Source organism: Homo sapiens, chromosome 6, assembly GCF_000001405.40.
Source record: "Homo sapiens chromosome 6, GRCh38.p14 Primary Assembly".
In the NCBI taxonomy this organism is placed as follows: domain Eukaryota; kingdom Metazoa; phylum Chordata; class Mammalia; order Primates; family Hominidae; genus Homo; species Homo sapiens.
This window is the reverse complement of record NC_000006.12, coordinates 113,348,194-113,367,645: the sequence shown is the minus strand read 5'-3', so window position 1 is coordinate 113,367,645 and position 19,452 is coordinate 113,348,194. Positions and strand designations below refer to the sequence as shown.

At 38.9% G+C, this 19,452-nt stretch overlaps 2 long non-coding RNA genes across 2 annotated transcripts in view; both read left to right on the top strand.

Annotated features, from left to right (window-relative positions):
* Positions 1–19,452, top strand: part of LOC107986637 (uncharacterized) — a 30,488-nt gene that overhangs the window by 8,735 nt on the left and 2,301 nt on the right. Inside the window, exon 3 of the long non-coding RNA XR_001744312.2 lies at positions 4,976–5,115. This is a non-coding gene — a long non-coding RNA (uncharacterized LOC107986637). The remainder of the gene's footprint in view (positions 1–4,975; positions 5,116–19,452) is intronic.
* LOC124901497 (uncharacterized) lies at positions 9,407–10,643 on the top strand. The gene is made up of 2 exons (XR_007059930.1): positions 9,407–9,882; positions 10,348–10,643. It is a non-coding gene; the product is annotated as an uncharacterized LOC124901497 (long non-coding RNA).

The window sequence follows — 19,452 nt, the reverse complement described above, 5'->3', positions numbered from 1 at the left end:
GACCATTTTAATTATTACATTTTACTACTCTGCATAAATCCAGACTTTTGCTTTGTATTTTAACCCACGTTGCTACCTTGCAGACTTGAGACCCCAGACCTGTCTCTCATGTTTATGGAAGAATCTGACTTTCTGCAGTTCCAAGCAAGCCACTTTCTTGCTTCCTCAGGCACTCATGATAAGCACTGAAGGGTACAATTCTCCACCCACTTATGTGGGGGATCCCTTTCCATGTGGCTTCATCCTTTCTATTTCTTAAGTTCATATGAAATATGGCTCAAAGAAAAGTCTATCTGATTCATGGCCTTTCTCTTTTTTTAAGGTATGAGATTTGTTTGTATTATTTAAAATGTATTCCCTCATTGTTGTATACCATGGGCCTGACCCAAATCAAATCAGCAGTTTCTAGGCTTTCTTGCCCAAGACTCCCCAGATGCTCTTTCTCTGTATTTCGGTTCTGCTCCCTTTTGCCCTGCACTTCTTTCTGTTGCTGCACTCCGTGGAGTATCAGACACTATCTTGGCATGGCAATTAGGCTAATGGTTGGATTGTGATAGCCTGAGAAAGCAATCTGGGTGTCAGGGATGTCCATCTAGAAAAATGTAAGTAAGTGCAAGGAGGGAAGAAGGAAATGAAATTCACAGGCCAAACTTCACCATTATTTCTCCTTGCAAAGCAAATAAATAAGGCCTGATTTCGGGAACCCATGCTTTGGTATAGGTTCATAGTAGGCTCGTGGGCAACCAGAGGGACAATACAGTTTTGGGATAAGGTAGCGTGTAAACTATGATTTAAAAAAAAAATGTATCCTGTGGTTTTCCTCTGACTCCTCCACAGTTAACCTTCTGAAAATAAAACCTTAGTGTTGAAAAAATTACTGGCTATAAAAGAGATAAGTTTATTGAGAATTCAAGTGGACCAGGGGATTTTAGGGTCGTTGCTACATTGCAGAGGAACGACTCATCATTTTCTGGCTATAGGTTGACACTGGTGAAATTACAAGATCATGGGTCTTGGGACCACTCAGCTCCTTCTTCTTCTCTGTCTTCTGCAGTCCCTTCAGAGGAGAGTTTCCACCTCTCATTTAGTGTTTTTAAGGCACTCAGATCATTAGCATTGTGTGCTTTCTGTCCTATGCCTTATATAACTAGAAGTTATTATTATTCCAGAGTCCATTAATGAAGAAAGTACCACTGGGCCTAGAGTTCTTCCTTTTGATTGTCTTTTTTTAAATTAGAAATTCCACCTTCACAGTTTTTGTGTAGATGATCCTATTTTCTAATCATGTTTTAGGCCTTAAATATTTAATAGAGTGTAGTTTCAATCATCTCATTAGAAATTCCATTGATGTTTAAGAAACTTACCCAGGCTATCTGTCCTGTTGCCCCACTATCAATGTAACAAAAAAGTTGAAATGGGACAGAGTATGTGCGTGTGTGTGGAAGCCCAAGCTGTTTGCCACCCTTCTCAGTTCCAGACAGCATATGGAATCCCTAGATACTTTTTTTTCTTTTTTTTGACATGGAGTCTTGCTCTGTCACCCAGGCTGGAGTGCAGTGGTGCTATCTTGGCTCACTGCAAGCTCCGCCTCCCTGGGACTACAGGAGCCCGCCACCATGCCCGGCTAATTGTTTTGTATTTTTAGTAGAGACGGGGTTTCACCATGTTAGCCAGGATGGTCTCGATCTCCTGACCTCATGATCTGCTCGCCTCGGCCTCCCTAAGTGCTGGGATTATAGGTGTAAACCACCGCGCCCAGCTCCCAGACACATTTTTAAAGTCACATTTTAAACACACATTCCTCAAAACTGGACTAAAATGAGCAGTGTGTACTTAGAGTACCTGAGATCACACTATCTGAAACAATAGTGAGGAGCCTGTGGTTAGACAATGGAAAATGATTGTAGGATAAAAATGGAATAGTTGTTTATTTGTTATATTTTGTGTTGAAAAAAAAAATCATGTCTTTCCTTTTTTTTTTTTTTTTTGGTAAGGCAAGATACTTAACCCAGTGTTTACTAAAGTGTGTTCTGAGAAATACCAATTTTTCTGGATGAAACCAGAATCCACATTTTCAGTTTCATGGCCAAATAAGTTTGGAAGCACTGTTACACAAAGCCAATCACATTTCTGCACTGCTGAAATTCTGAAGACTTTACTAAACTAACAGGTTCTGTGAATTCCTCGGTCGGGGGAGGTAGCTCATACACAGTCTTCTTTTCCTATGGGGTCATTTTTAGAGCCACTGAAACCACTGTGAAAACTGTGGACCAGCTCATTGGAGAGCCACTTATTAAGAGTGACTCATCCAGGCAGATTACAGGATGAAGACAAGTAACAGAAGAGCCACATTTACACATGGAAATCACTAAACAAACACCAATGGGACCCTTCATGGCAAAGTCTAAAAGTGATTTTGGTCTAAATTAAATGGTTTCCAAAAACTTATCTAGAACAAATGCCTCTTAAAAATGAAATACTTGTTTTGTGTTCATAACAGCTCCCTAGAAAATCAAGCTTTTAAACCAAAACTTATATAATTGGTCTGAAGAACTTCCTGCCTCCTCCTTAAGAGATTTAGGGAACATAGAAGATGGCTTGAGGATATTTCCAGACAGTGACATCAGAAGAGAAGAATTAGCATGATGTTAGGTAGCTGTATTTAGGAATTATCTCTCTACATAGAAGTCAGTCTTTCTTCATGAGAGCCCCTGACATTTCCAGCACTCCATGCTGGCGCATATACCTTCAGGGCTGAGATGTGGAATTTCTAAGTTCCTCTTGACGCTTGGCTCGAAAGACTTTTCCACAGATGCTGTCTGCCAGCCTGGGCTCAAGATTCACCTGCTGGGAAATTTCCAAGCACAACTTTAGGCCTCAAAGGAGCAGAACTTGATGGTGTCAAGAGACAAATGAAGTGGAATTTCATTAAGAAATTTTAATGCAAAAGCAATGATGATTAAGAAGCCTAAAGAAAATCTGGCCAACGTGCTTTTTAAACTAATACAGGAGGGAGAATTCCACAGGCATCTTCATTGCCCATCTCTAAGGATGGGATTTTGAGAGGCATAAACACTGCTGGGTTTAAAGAAAGAGTGATAATTCCAGCTAGGGACACCGAGGGAGGCTGAGGAACCCTCTCCATGGTCTCTTTAGCAAGAAGCCTCAGATAAAGACAATGTTCCCCATTAGATAGTTTTAAAGGCCTTGGGTACACAACTAGAAATTCACTGGAGAACAAGCCAGGAAAATCACCTACATTTTCAACCTCTCTAGTTTCTCATTATAGTTTTCTATTTTTTCCCCTTGAAGGTCATAAAACATAATGTAAAAACAAGGTGAATTATAGCAAAGCATGATCTAGGTGTGTAACTAATTCCTATAATATAAGAGACCTTTAGACTTCTTTGAAATAGGCCTTTCACTTTATTATGGGGAAAATTAAGGTAATATAAAAACTAGCCCTTAAAGTTTTCAATTAGCTCAAGTTGTGACCATTTCCAACAATAATCATATCTGAATAATGTCATTCTTAAAACCACTTAGGCTTTGTCTTATGCTTTTCCAGATGTTAGTGATATAAAAGATTGCAAGTAGTACATTTTAATTCTGAATCACCAGGAAGCATATTTTGGCTATGATACAATCATTATCTTTTTTTTTTTTTTTTAATTTAAGAACACTGGTTCCAAGAGAACATAAGACAAGGGGAAGGTGTTCAATTTTTGGTACTGAAAGTAATTGTAATAAATGCTATGACCAAATATTAGAATTCTATTTGATATATTTAAAAGAAATTGAAAAAACACTTTAATAATTTTGCTTATCATTTGCCACTGATCTTTCTAAACATAATAACTTGAAAGGCCGTTGACATTTAAGAATAAATAATGCAAGCAGGTTTAGTTTTCTATATATTTCATACTTTGCCAAGTGAGTATATAGTTCATGTGATGACAGTTCTAGTCAAGGAATAAGGAAATCTCACAGAAATGGACAACTTGATTTTAAATGTAAGCGTAACATAGACACATTTTTATCATTGTTTTTATATTACTCAGGAAGTCCTATAGCAGACTTGTGCAGGAGACAGAGAAAGACAAGCCTAGGGTCCATCCTTCAAGGACTTGATAGCCCAGTTCGGGAAAGAAACATGGGTCTATGGGCAGTAAAACTATAACAAAAAGAGTAAGTGCAAAAAGCCAGATGAATAATAAAGATATGATTAATTAATGAAGTTCAGAGGGAAGAGAGAAAGAGAACCTTTTAGCAGTGGCAGGATTTGAATCTGAAAGTGAAGCATAGCTGAGATGATCTTAGTTGGAGAAGCTGGAGCAGTTCTCTCCAACTAAGATAATCCCTCCAATTCATTGCATGTGAGGGACAGAGAGAATGGTTTGGGAAAAATTTATGCAACAGGATATGATCACTTTAATTCCGGGCCAAATTAATAATATCATTTGTTTGAAGCCAAGAATTTCTGTGGGTCAAGGAATGAAGAGCTGTAGATCTAAAAAGGATAATTGTAGCTGGACTATGGAGGGCTTTCAGTGGCAGACCAAATCTGAATTTTCTAACATAAGATTTGAGATAGGGACATGATGATCTCAACTGTTTTGAGGAAGAAGGAGTGCTGTGTGGGAGAGGGAGTTGAGGGGCAGGAGGACACAGCCAGTAGACCATTGGTGTTAGCTGATAAGCCCCTGGACCAGTAAGCTACGCAGTGATAGTGGGAGAATGGGGGAGAACCAGGGAGCAGAGTGTGGTGGAAAGTGAGAATGAGAGAGTGGAATCTCTGCTGACTATTTCAGCGAATGCCAGGAGTGGTTTTCTTTTCTTCCCCCCGCCCCCCTTTTCAGTGCATTTTTAGTCATGAGTTGACACATTCACTGGATCTTAAAGCTGGAAGTGAAGTCAAGTGACATTTGATCAGGTCCCCTGTTTTTATTGAAGTTTGTTTATTCCTGTTTTACAGACATGGTAATTAGAAACCAGGAAGACTGAGAAGGAATCAAATTTGCAGCAGCTCAGTAAGTGGTAGACTGGGAACAAGAAGCCAGTTCTCTGGGCTCTTGAAGCAAGGCCCTGCCACGTTGTCTTTCCCCAGGAGAGGAGGTATGACAGATAAAGGTCTTAGGTTGATTTTTTAAAACTGTGTGACTATCAGTGTCTGGTATTTTATTCCAATAACTTAAAACATAAAATTAAAATCACAGCATGCTCAGCCGCAGATTTCCCTTTCAATGCGATGCTTTTGCATACCAAAGGATCTGAGGACAGTTTTCTATTTCAAACTGTTTTTTTTTAAGCCACTATATGTATAGGCGCTAAATGTAGAAGTCTTTATTATTTTAAGTGAATTTTTTCTTAAAAACATGAAAGAAAAAAATCAATTTTAAGAAATTAATATGTGAAATGACTTGAATTTCTCTAAGGGTTCTTTGCAATGCTTTCCCATTATTACAACTTCAATATCCTGTTTTAGCAACACTTATTTAACTAGTCACATTTTACTTTTATGGGGGAGCAATAAATGTAAAAGGCACATAAAAACCACAGCCAAATGGTTGACATTTGACCTTTAATCATCTCTTGGACTCTCCTTTAGCAACATACCACCTCCTCTTCTACATATACACAAATACACAGTGTGTATCAACACACTTCCTAATTTACCACATATCATGATGTTGCTGAAGAAAAGAAATGACTTTCTTCAACCTGGTCTGCCTTTTGTTTCTCCTCACATTTTTTTTTAACTATTTTTATTATTTTCTGTTATTGGCCTAACAAATTACCACTTCCTTTGTGATTAAAATTAAGACTGGAGCCCCAAAAAAGGTGGTAAGAGGTGATTTTTTAAACTATCACAAGACCAAGAATCAAGTAAAAAGTTTGTTTTGAATTTTGAAACTGCATTATTATAAACAAAATAGTTCTTTATTTTTACCAATATATGAGTAGTTATCTAACCTAAACTATACATACACACACACACACACACACGCATATTATATATTGATTATAAACAACAGGAAATATAGATAGAATTAGTAATTAGTAGGAAGGGACCTGAGAAGAGGCCTGATCGCCAATCATTTGACAGATATCAAGGCTGAAAGACATGGCTAATGCCGCATGGCTACTGAGGGCAGAACTAGAACAAAGACAGAACAGCCCGGGCTTAGCCCTGTTGACTTACAGCTATGCCCCCAAATATGACATCACTTGCAGAAAGAGAATGTTGTGCCCTGAACATACAAAGATTGAACCAGAATGTCTCAGTGTTCACAGCAAATCCAGAAAAAGATCCCATCCTTGAAGCAACTTTCTTGATGGCTGCCCCTATTTCAAAAACTTGAGATGACGGGCGTCCCCACAACACTCCTCCTCTGACTTGTTTTGTCTTCATGGTATGAAAAAGGGTAGGAAAAATCTGGAAATCTGACCCAGCTCAGTCAATAAAAAGGCTTTTGTCTGTGAACCTGACCACAAGTGACTCATTAACAGCCGATTGAAAGATTTTTGTCGGGAACTCCCCCCTATCTCTTAACAGAAATAAACAATTTGAAACAAAACTGAAGTATAAGGTGAAATCAATTCCCACTTCAAAATAGTGTTGTCTACTACATGTAAAGGTGTTTATTTCCTCCTGACAAAACATTTGTTATGGATTTACTGCCATTTTTATCCCTTTACCTAAATCCACCATTTGTTTTGTCAAAGATGGAGCATGAAAAATTCTTTACAAAATGTCTTAAAGTGCATCCTGAATTAATGGTCCAATTAATTTTTTAAAAAACCTTAATTTTTTGTTTCTAGCAGATGATTAGTTACCCTTAATTTCAAATGGTATTGTATTTTAATTTATTTTATTAAAGTTCAAAATAAATTAGTAATTCAATTTTGTATTTTTATCATTTATTTTTTAATGCTAAGTACTAACTTTTTTTTTAAGGTGCTTACTGTGTGTGTTGTATTTCATTTCCACAGTATTCTTCCTTAAAACACATTAATAATTTTTGATCTTTTAATAATTGACTTCAAGTTAGAAAAAGTAGTGGCATTAAACTATATTCAGAATTTATTAATATAGCATTTAAACTCAAGGAAAATGCCAGACTCAAAAATTCTGACAATGCAAACTCATTCTAATCAGGCTTTGTCTCTGCCCTTTGTAAGAACTGCAAGAAAACTGGAATATCTTGTATGTTAATATTCTGAAATATCTCCAGTAGCATCCATCTGTGAAGTTAAAAGACTTCATCATATTTACTTTTGATTTTTAAAAAGGGCATGGGCCCTCTGCCTCTCCAGCTTGAGGTATGAGAGGATCCACAAATGAAAATACATTATCATCATTAAAGACTTGGAATTCTAGAGACAATCTTATCCAGAGGGAATTAAAATAATGAATTACATTTGGTCCTGGTAGTTTTAGTGTTGTGATACTTTAAATTGGCTTAAAGTCACTCCTGTACAATCCCCATACATGTTTCAGTATTAATCGTCAACTCCCCTTTAATTGCCTATATTCCTTTAAGATTCTGCTATACTATCTCACTTCCTATGAGCAAGAGCTAAGCCTTCAGCCCTGGGCGAGCAGCATGGGCAAGTGATTCAAATGAAGGGCTTGATTAACAGACTCTTTGCAGTTCTGCTCTAACAAGTCCAGCATTTCCTGGAAACCTGCTCACAGATTGTGGGACTATTTTTAGTAGCTCACCTCCCAGTAAATGTAGCTATTAGATATCCAGATATCCTTGCCTCTTTCAGATGCAGTAAAATAGAACATAAAAGGATGTAATTGAATGATTACAGCTAAAGCCTGTAATCAGTAGCCATAGGGTCTCTCTCTTTCCCCTAAGTGATCTGGGACACAGACCCAGGAGGGCCTTGTCCCTCCCCACTGCCTGGGAAACACACATGCCGTGCACAGGCCATGCTGACTCTCTGCAGATGCAGCCTAACCTCAAAAGCAGGCGCCCTGCAGATGCAGCCTAACCTCAAAAGGTTGGGACTGTTTTCTGTGCATGCATGCAGGGTAGAAAGGAAAGGCAAAAGAATTCACATATTTGGACATCTACTTGTGTATTCATGTGATTTTCATAGCCATGTGAGGTAGGTAGGTAGGTATGATTATTTTCATTTTACTAATGAGCAAAATTTACTGCTATGGTCTGAATTTTTGTGTCTTCCCAAAATTCATATGTTGAAACCTAATCACCAATGTTAAGGTATTAGGCAGTGGGACCTTTGGGAGGTGATTAGGTCATTAGGGCAGAGGTCCCATGAATGGGATTAGTGCCCTGATGAAAGAGGCTTCAGAAGGCCTTTCCTCTTCCACCATGTGAGGACATGGCTGGAAGATGCCATCTGTAAACAAGAAAGTGGACTCTCACCATCCCTGAATCTGCTGGCATTTTGATTTTGGGCTTCTCAGTCTCCAAAACTATCAGAAATAAATTTCTGTTTTTTGTAAGCCACTCGGTCTATGGTGTTTTTTTAGGGCAGCCTGAATGGACTAAGATATTTACCAATCAGCCAAATTCAGCAATTGCCTGAGGACCTGTGGCTAACGAGCAGCAGTGTCAAAGCTGGGTTTAAACTCAGCCCATGTTTCCCTTTTACACTCTGCTCTTTAATGGGGGACAGAATAGCAGACTCTATAACTAGGGTGGCTGAGTAATTTATTGTCCAAACCAAGACATGTCTAAGGAACAAGTGGAAGTGCCGTTAATAAAAACACTGGGACAACAAGCCTAACCTGTAAGGGTCTTAGGCGAACTAGGATATGTGCTTGTCCTGTCCCTAACCCTGCCCTGCTCACGCCAGCAGAGCCAAGACTGAAGGTGAGTGCCCAGTAGAAAGTTTCTAGCCCACTGGTCAGGGTGGGGACGGCTTATACCCGAATCCTGCAATAGGTCCCTTGGGCAACAGGGAATGAAGCTTTAAAAAATACTATATTTAAGACGAGATTTTAGGCATGAAATTCTATTTCATTTTATGTAACTCAGAGAGGATCCATCATGCAGAAAGTGTTACTTACAGCTGCACCCCTAACTCCTTAGAGGCAGTGAAACTGTATCATTGGACTGCCAGTCACTTGCATTAGATATGTTGAGATAACACAAAAATATCTAACATTTATTGACTTGCCATGTGCCAAACAGTGTGCAAAGTGCTTTACTTACATTATCTCATTCGATTTTCTCAAATACTCTATGAGGTAGGTAAATTTATTGCCCCATTTTACAGATAAGAAAACTCAGGCACTGAGAAACTTGCTCGAGAACACACACATAGTAAGTGGCTCAGCTATATTCAGACAGAGGACTTCTGCCTCCAGAGTCTGCACTCTTCATTATGACATAGGGCCATGTGTGTTGTATTGATCTTGGAAAGAGAAGGGTCACAGAGCGGTGTGACCTCACAAAGCTTGTATATTATTGAAGAGAGGCTTTTTTATATCACCACATCTCAACTAACACCTCAGTGTTTGTTGGAAGACATCATGTATGTAGTTTTAAAAATACTAAGTGTCAAATGAGTGACACAGAACACTCTGTCATATCACAGTGCTTTGTGGATAGAGACAAGGTGGCATATGCTAATAGAATATATTGATATTTATCTTCTTAAATATCCATCTCATTCTCCCTGATAGCATGGGAAGCCTTGCAAGGATTGTCCTGCCGTTCTTTCAAGCCCTAGCTCTTGGCACATTGTAGACACAGATAACTCTGTGCTTTATGACTGCAGTTGTCAGTTCAACCACAGAGCGTTCAGAGCAGAGAAAGTCTCTGGGGGTTACATGCAAGGGACTTGAAGTTGGGAAAAAGGCTTTGAAAAAATGAAGGAGAAAGATGAAATGTATTCCAGGTGAGAGAAACAAATTAAATAAATGAACTCAGATGGGAGTTTTGAGGGCAACGTAAAGAAACCAGGCTGTCTGTATTGAATTTTATTAAAAAAGACTGAATGAGAAAAGCAAGATTATGAGGTCTTTGATGTTAAGATGTCAATTGGGCCATATTTCATAAAATAAGATCAGTCTCCTGACCTAGTACTACAGGGTGTTAATGCCCACAAAACAATACCCCAAAATGAAGGCCTCAGAAGCAAAAATTTTTCTCTGGCCTTCTTCTGCCCACTGTCTCAGTCTCATTCTCCTCCAAGGCTAGCCATAGAAACTAGGAACCCCGTTGTCCCCAGGCAGGTTACAGAAACCAGAATCCCTTTATCCCCCCCAAGACAGCCATAAAACCTAAAAATATTACTTAACGTTCCTCCACCTTTCTGTGTAAAAACTGGCCATAAAGAAATTATTTTATCGATCTTGTTTAGGTCATAAGACATTCATTCCAGAGAGAGTCCTGCCCCACCTCTGAGAAGGAAGGAATGTACACTCAAGAGAGATCAAGAAGAATCTAAACAAACAGGCCCTTCTGCGTTTTCCCACAAGAGAAAATGATCTAATTAACATTCGATCATAACTTTTTGTCCAATTATATTTCTACACTGCTGTTCATACTTTATTTAACCTAGGCATAAAAATTGACAATTTTTATTGTATTTTTGGCTCTTCATTCTGAAGGCTTCCATGTATACATGTTAAATAAATTTGTACACCTTTTCTCCAATTAATCTACCTGAGTTGATTTTTTAGTGAATCTTCAGAGGTCCAAGAACCCGTCCCTTGAGCCCTACAAGTGCTAGAATCCTACTCTTGGTCCCTCATGGAGGCTGAGTAGTTCTTCTGGGACCATGAATTGAACTAGAAATCTCATCTGCTTGAACAAGAGAACATTGCGGTCATTTGACGAAGAATCTTGTAACAGCTGCTGGCCAATTTTTATCTGATTTGGAAGGACATTGGAAGTCTTTAGGGGGTTCTGAGAAGGAAAGCATTATGGCAAAATTAAATGGTAGAGTGATATAATTTTTTTTTATTTTCTAGGAGGAAAAAGGAAAGTCGGGACATATGGAGAAATAGATGTTTGAGGAATATAAGGAAGACAGTGTTTCAAAACTATTCATGGAGAGCTGCCTAATATTGCTTCTGTGTTCCTCAATACTGTGGACCATTTTAGACAGTAGACACTGGAACGGAGAGTAGTGAGGAAAAGTGAATTCTTAATGGCTGTTTATCTCATTAGGCAAAGTTTTTTTCTGCCTTTCCTTATACTCCAGAAGTTTTCAAGCTGAAAAATTGAAGCTTACAAAACTACAAATTTATGAAGGGCAAAGACTACATTTTCTTTGAATTCCTACACCATCTTGCATGTTAATGGTTAACCAAGTATGCATAGACCTCCCCATCAACAGGGAGAGTATGATGGATACCCAATAGCTAGTCAACATTAGCAGTTGAGTAAGCAAACAAAGTGAGGTGTGGAGGTAAGAGTCTAAGTGCCTGAAGTCATACTAGATTGTGGTGCTCACAGGCATTTAATGCCTCCTGAGAAGAGACAGTTACTCTATGATGAGTTCCTGAGATTAAGCCATTTTAGAGCCAAAACTTTTTTATTTTGCATGTAGTTTAAAAAATATACAAATTATAATTGTTATAATTAATGACTCACCCACATGGAAAGCAGCCTTCCATTTAAACCCTGAAATATGACCATGCTTCTGAAAGCAAATGAGAATAATCTGTAAGTGAGAAAACATTCTCACAAAACATATGCATGTTTTTGTTTTGGATAGAGCCTTTTTCAGGATCCTAAGCCTGACACTGTATATGAAATGAAATCAGTTAAAAGAAGCATATACATTAAAAGGATATGTCTAGAGATGATGCCACAGGAAGGAAGCAAAAATTATACCAGGCAAAGAGGTAGTTAGTGCTAAGGGAAAATGAGTATCCACTTTTGTTCTCATAGAAATTGAATATATTTAAGGTGTACAACATAATATTTTGACATACATATATATACATAGTAAAATAGTTACTACAGAAGACCGGGGGCAGTGGCTCATGCCTGTAATCCCAGCACTTTGGGAGGCTGAGGCAGGTGGATCACCAGGTCAAGAGATCGAGACCATCCTGGCCAACATAGTGAAACCCTGTCTCTACTAAAAATACAAAAATTAGCTGGACATGGTGGTGTGCCCCTGTAGTCCCAGCTACTTGGGAGGCTGAGGCAGGAGAATCTCTTGAACCCGGGAGGCAGAGTTTGCAGTGAGCCGAGGTCGTGCCACTGCACTCCAGCCTGGCGACAGAGCAAGACTCTATCTCAAATAATAATAATAATGATAATGATAATGGTAATTACTACAGAAAAGCAAATTGGAATATCCATCTTCTCACAGAGTTGACTTTCCTGTTTGTGTATGTGGTAAGAACATCTGAGATCTAATCTTTGAGCAGGTTTTCAGTATAAAACACAGTATTATTATTATCCTCATACTTCTGGACATATTCATCCCATGTAACTGCAACTTTGTACACTTTGATCAGCATTTCTCCTTTTTTCTCACCTCCTTGCCCATGGTAACCACTGTCCTACTCTCTGCTTCTATGTATTGGACTTTTTTAGATTCTGCATATAAGTGACATCATATACTTTTTTTTTTTTTTTTTGAGACACAGTCTAGCTCTGTCACCTAGGCTGGAATGCAGTGGCATGATCTCGGCTCACTGCAACCTCCACCTCCCAGGTTCAAGCGATTCTCCTGCCTCGGCCTCCCGAGTAGCGAGGATTATAGGCGCCCGCCACCATGCCCAGCTAATTTTTGTATTTTTAGTAGAGATGGGGTTTCACCATGTTGGACAGCCTGATCTCAAACTCCTGACCTCTTGATCCACCTGCCTCAGCCTTCCAAAGTGCTGGGATTACAAGCGTAAGCCACCGCGCCAGGCCTGAGATCATATACTTCTTAATAACTCTTGAAGGCATCAGTATTATTGGAATCTGTATCAGTTAACATGGGCTAGATTATGTCATAGTGCCAAAATATCCCAATGTCTCAATGCCTTGGAACAGCAAAGGTTTATTTCTTGGTCACACTGCATGGCAGTTGTGGATTGACTGGGGCTCTGCTCTGCATCACTGTGGCCCAAAACCTCAGGTAGAGCGTCCCCTACCTGGAAACACGCTAGTGATGAGAGCAGGGAAAATGCAGGGCGAAGCACAAAAGGACTCTTAAGGCTTCTGCATGGTGGTGATCATATTGCTTCTGCTTACTATTAGCTGCTGTAAATTACATGCCAAGCCTTACTTCAAAGGTACAGGAAAGCATAACCCTCTCCTAATGAAAGACAGTGGATATTGGTAATGAGTAATCCAATCTTTCACAGAGTCTAGTAAATAATGGATGCTTTTAGAATTTAGTAATCTGAGTAATGAAGAAAATGTCAAATGATTCCTGTATATTTCATTCAGCACCTATTTATTAGATGTTTTCAATATCAGGCAGTACACTAAGTACTACATAATAAGGCAAATGAATGGATAATATATTAATATATCAAAGTGTTTGCACTGAAAGGAATATGTTTTATTTTTTTGAAGAAACTTGTGTTTAAGTTAATTCATTTGCCAAAAGCAGAGCAAAGCTACCATGTTGCCTGTATTAGTTCCCTATTGCTGCCTGACAATTTATTGCAAGCTTAGTAGCTATAAAATATCACAAATTTATTATCTCGTAGTTTCTGTTGGGCAGAATCTTGAATGACATAGCCAAATTCTCTGCTCAGGGTCTCAGCAGGCTGAATGAAGGTGTCAGCTCGGGCTGTGGTTCTCATTTGAGTCCTGGAGTCCTCTGCTAAGTTCAGTAATTGTTGGACATATCCATTTCCATGTAGTTGCAGGACTGAGGCCCTATTTTCTTGCTGGTTGTTGGCCAAGGACCTCTCTCAGCTCCCAGAGCCCACCCTCAGTTCCTTACTACATGGCCTCCATAGGCAGTTCATAGTATGGATGCCTGCTGTCTTCCAAGTCAGCCAGAGCATATACCTCTGACATGCACTCCTTCGATCAGCTGGAGAAAACTCTCTGGCTTTGAAATGCTCATGGGATTAGATCAGGCTCACCAGATAATAGCTGTAATTTAAGGACAGCTTATTTGGGATCCTAGTCACATCTCCAAAATTCTTTCATAGCAGCAACTAGATCAGCATTCGATTAAATTACTGGGAAAAATGTGTGTGTGTCAGGGGCTGGGAAGCTTGGAGGTCTCTTAGAATTCTGTCTACCCCCTGACCTCACTGCAAAATGGTGGGTGTTAGTGTAGAAAAAAAAAAAAGGTAATAGTTTTTCCTCATGCATCACAAGGTTTATGGCTGAGACCCCTATAACAAAAGACAGATTAACAAAAGAAAAGCATATATATTTATTTAATACAAATTTTATGTGACATGGTAGCCTTCAGAAATAAAGACCCAAAGAAACAGGGAAAACTATATTTTTATGGACAGTCACGCAGAGAGGTATGATTAGAGAACAAAAGAGTATGATCTAATGGTAATAAACTGGGGGGACTTAAGAAGGCCGCTTTGTCCCAATGCTTCTTAATATCTCTGTGACATTCCTTTTTCCAGGAATACAGAGGACTCCTCTGGAATGAGAGGTTTATGACCTATTTTCAGGGGAGGTTTTATGGCCTGCTTCGGGGGCAAAGGTACAAGTGGAATTCTTTCTATATCCTACTTCTGCTGTTTCCTCACATGCTAGGGTGCCATATTTTTGTGTAGCATGTCCTGAACTCTGTTGTTATTTCAGTTTGCCTATGGCAGGATTGATGAGGTAGGGCCTGTTCTAGAGTAAGTGGCTCTCCTGGGTAAGAACTGGAATTATTAGGAGGGGTATCTTTTGAGGACATTTGTGATGGGTTTGCTCAGTGACTGGTGAGACCCTAGTTGTGTGCTCCCAAGCTGGATTCTCTATGAGTAACACTGAAATTATTGAATCCCTTAAATTCCTAGAGGGTTACTGCATTAGTCAGAGTCCTGGCAAGAAGCAGACAAAATTTTCAAACTGGGTAACTGAAGAGAGTTTAATAAAGGGTTATTTTTTTATTTAGGTGTGGGCAGAGTGTAGGAAGCCAACAAGGGATCGTTATTTCTCCTAGGCTGAAAAGGGGAAGGGGAGAGTGGGACTGGGAATCTGGAGAGGGGAGTTGTGTGGAAAGGGCTCTGACAGGAGCTATAGCCTTTGGTAGAAAGATGCCACCAGTCCATGGAAACTAGGCAGGAAAGTAAAGGGAAACAAATAGCCTAGTCTCTTCCTTTAATCCTCTTATCTCTTGCCAAGAGGGCAAAAGAGCCTGTTTGTCCAGTCCTCAGAGGTCAGCTTCATGGGGCAAGAACAGGGTGGAGAAAGGTAGGGAGGAGATCTAGAAAGGCAAACAAAAAGATAGGTAGCATGATTACTAAAGACATATTTCTTGGCTGTGGTCAGGGTCACAGCTTCCGTTGTGACTCACAGATGAAGTCTCTTTATCTGTGCTTCATAGAGTGTTTTAGTTAGCTTGGTTATAACTCTATCCCACTATGCAATATCATTAACATATATGTCTGTCATTCCCGCTATTTTGTGAGCTTCCTGAGAGCAAGGGCCATGCCTTATTCATCTTTATACATGCAGTGTCTATGTGCTTGGCCCACAGTAGATGATTAATGAATGCTTGTGGGATTATGAAGATATGAAGTCAATGGTGAACAATTATTAAAGTCCTACAAGTAAATTGGGTAATAGGGGCATAAGCAAATGCACAACACTCTTACTGCTCTCTAAGATGTTCTATTACATATTGGCTGATGGAGTTAGAAGATACACTTACCATTGCTGCAACAAATCTCCTGATACTATGAAAATTTGATGTTCTATTTTCATTTTCTACTTAAAGGTCATTAATTTCAGGTTGTACTACACGTTTCATTTAATGAGCACTAGAATCTATCAACAGAGAAGGAGGAACAGCAAATGCAGGGCAAATGAGACAGCTCAGAGCCACTAGTCATCAAACTCAGTTGGCTGTCTGCAGAGTGCAATGACTTTGGGATAAGACGTGATGCTTTACCTTCCTGCCATTGTCACATGTGGTTCTTGTTGCCAAACAGGGAGTAGAGTGTGCTAAGTCTATGAAAAAACTGTTTTCTTCTGTTTTACTTTTTGACATTTTCAAAGCACTAGATAAGGATAAATGTGGTCAGCTTGATGTATGATTGTTTTGGTTCACGTAGAATCATATGCTGAAGAATCACAGGGACTGACAGGGGAAAAATGTAAATGTCATAGTTTTGCTAATTACTTTAGCATGTGTTTCTTCCACATGTCTGAAAGCAAATGTAATTGAGGGTTGTGGTTTCTGGGGCATGGCCAAAAGTACAATGTGACTAACAACTGAGGAAAATATCATGGTTTATCATGTGGTAGAGGATCTGTTATCGTTTTCTTCCCCTCCCCCACAAAGTAAAGATTTTTCCAATATTTAAGGATGTTACTGGAGTATGAAAGAAGAATTATACAAATTGAATCCTGGGATTGGTATTTTTATCGGGTAAGAAAAAAAACATATAAAATGCAGTTTTAAGTTCAGTGGCTGTTCCATTCCATCCTAGAGGTTTCTATTGCAAAAAGTGGATTTGCAAACAAGAAAACAGCTCTTTCAATTCTTTAAACATTTCAACGATGATAAGGGTCTTTCTCAAGCAAATAAATCTCAGGAAATTCAAATACTAGTATGAAACCATAATCTCCCTTCACCTTGTTGCTTCAAAGCCTAGTAACTCTATTGAGAACTCCTGAAAACCAGTGGGTGATCTGACCCCAAGGCTTCATATACTATTTCTTATTTTTATCACAGGAATTTCACAATTTAAAGGCAAGGTTAAAAAACAGTCTATTTTCTCTCTTAAGCAAGTGATCAGGTTGCTTTGTGAACAAAGCAAAAGGCTGAGCTCACATGGAACACTTTTGAAATCTTCCTGGTTTGGGATGGACTGCAAATGCTATTAGTATATTTCCTGGTATTTTAGATGCCTATGAATTGCACCGTAATGAAATCTTTGAATAACAAGCATCTGGTAGCCAGAGCCCACAAAGACTTTCCTATATTATGCAGAACCTTCTGCTACTTTTGAGGCTGTTCTCTTGGTCTTTTAGACTATATCTTTTTCCCTTTATTTCCCCACATGTTTGGGAGTCACAAGTATTTTTGTCACATTTATCACTGACTGTACATAGGTGACTAAACTGGTCATCTGCAGGTCCAGCAGGTTGTGAGAAGAAACTGGGTGATGTATATTCCCCTTTCTCTCCCATATCAAACACCACACCCTCATCCCTGCCCACTAGCCCTATAACTGCTGACTATAAGCTGCAGAAGCAAATGGAAAGTCTATTCTACCAGTGGATTGAGGGGTGTTGGGACTCAGAAAACAATAACCCAAATGAAGGCTTCAGAAGCAGCCTCAGAAGCAAAAGATTTTCTCTGACCTTCTCCTGCCCTCCTGTTTCATAGTCCCACTCTCCCTGGAGGACTATCATAGAAACTAGAATCTCTTTTCTGCGAGGCAAGTCATAGAAGCCAGAACCGCTTTTCCCCAAAGCCAACCATAAAAACCTAAAAATATTACTTTAACTCCCTCCTGACATCTTTCTGTGTAAAAACTGGCCATAATTTATCTGATATACCTTGTTTGACTGTAGGTCATAAGACCCCCATTCCAGAGATGGTCCTGCCTCATACCTAGAAGGAAGAAATACATGCTCAAAGGGGCCAAGAAGAATACAGACAGACAGGCCTTGCTGGCTTTCCTCACTCGATCTATTAGCATGAGATCATACCCTTCTTGTCCAATCATATTTCTACACAATCATCCATACTTCATTTAACCTAAGCATAAAATGAACAATTTCTTCTGTATCTTTGGGTTTCTATTCTGAAGGCTCCTGCGTATGCACATTAAATAAATTTGTAAACCTTTTCCCCAATTAATCTACCTTTTGCAAGTTGATTTTTCATAGAAACTTGAGAGGACCAAGGGGAAAGCTCTCCCTTGGCCCCTGAAAAGGAAAGGTTCTAATGTGTTATTGAGAGTAATGTCAGATAAGAAAATCCAACTAGAGAGCAGAGGAAAGGAGGAAAGCTGGAATAGGGGTTCTAGCTTCTTTAGGGAGTTGAGTGTGGGCCATGAAGGGCCTGAAATATTATTCAGGTACCTGCTTGTATTATCCCATATGCTATTTTTTTTTTTTCCTGAAAAGAGAGTTAAAACTTACAATTAAATTCAAAAAGGGTTTGGGCTACACAAAGTTTTAAGGCTGATTATTGTCAAGAAAGTAAGTTTAGTTAATTGATTTATATTTTACAAATCCAGGAGAGAAGGAGGAATGGAAGGAAGTAAGAAATAATACAGGTAGGATAAATAAGAAGAAAATAGGCATTAGAGAGATACTAGCATTTTATTCCTTTTATCAGTTACTTAATACTTGGTCTGGTGAAATGGGATCTGGGGATAGACACCATTTCTACCAGACAATATGCATGTGTTTTAGAGATGAGACAATGAAGGCATAGAGAAGTTGAACAACGTGTGCCAGTTCACTTAGCTGGTCAGTATCAGCCAGCCAGCTTTGGGGGTTGCGTTGCTCTTCGTTACTCCTGGAAATCTCTTTCTCTTTCTTGATATATTTTACAAAATATACTTTTTGTAAACTGGAGGATAAAGTTGCATACCAAAATATTATCTTTGGGTGTTGTGATTATGGGTGATTTGACATTTTATTTTTGTCACCATTTTATCATAGTTATAATAAACATACCGAACTATATAATAAAATAATTGTAAATTGCTTTCACCTTTCTAAGAAATTAGTTATCATGTTGTTAACTCCCTCAGGAGCAACCACATTTCTGCTGAACAAAGGGCATCATCAAAGGCTGTAAGAGAATTGGAAGAATTTTATATTAACTTATAATGTCCACTGCCATTATAATAAAATGCGGCTTGTTCATAGTAAGTAGTGAGATTGCTTGATGAAATCAGTGCATAAAACACAATCATATAAAAGTAATTTCAATATAAAATTATAATATTTATTCAACTAAATACATTTAATCATCTAAATTAATATCCTTTAATATGTTTCCTGGCTGTGTCTCCATAGGCACAGTGAACAGATGCTCATGGCAACTTCTGCTTTAGAAGCCTCACAGGTAAAACTCATCATAGTGGTGATCTTCAGAGGCTGAGTCAGCCATTTGCTTATTTGCTACAAGAGAATAAATACAACTGTTTGAGAAAAATTTTTATTTTTCCATCAGTTTATCTGTTTAGTCACTCTCTGTAGAAGCTGAGCAGTTCTCCTTTGAGGCCAGGGTCTTGGTTAGGATTCTGTATTTCCAAACAAGGATATGAAATTGAGTAAGTTTCCGCTTTCCCAAATCCCAAAGTGTAGGATGCTCCCTCAACCAACAAACTCAGGAAAAGGATCTCAGGCC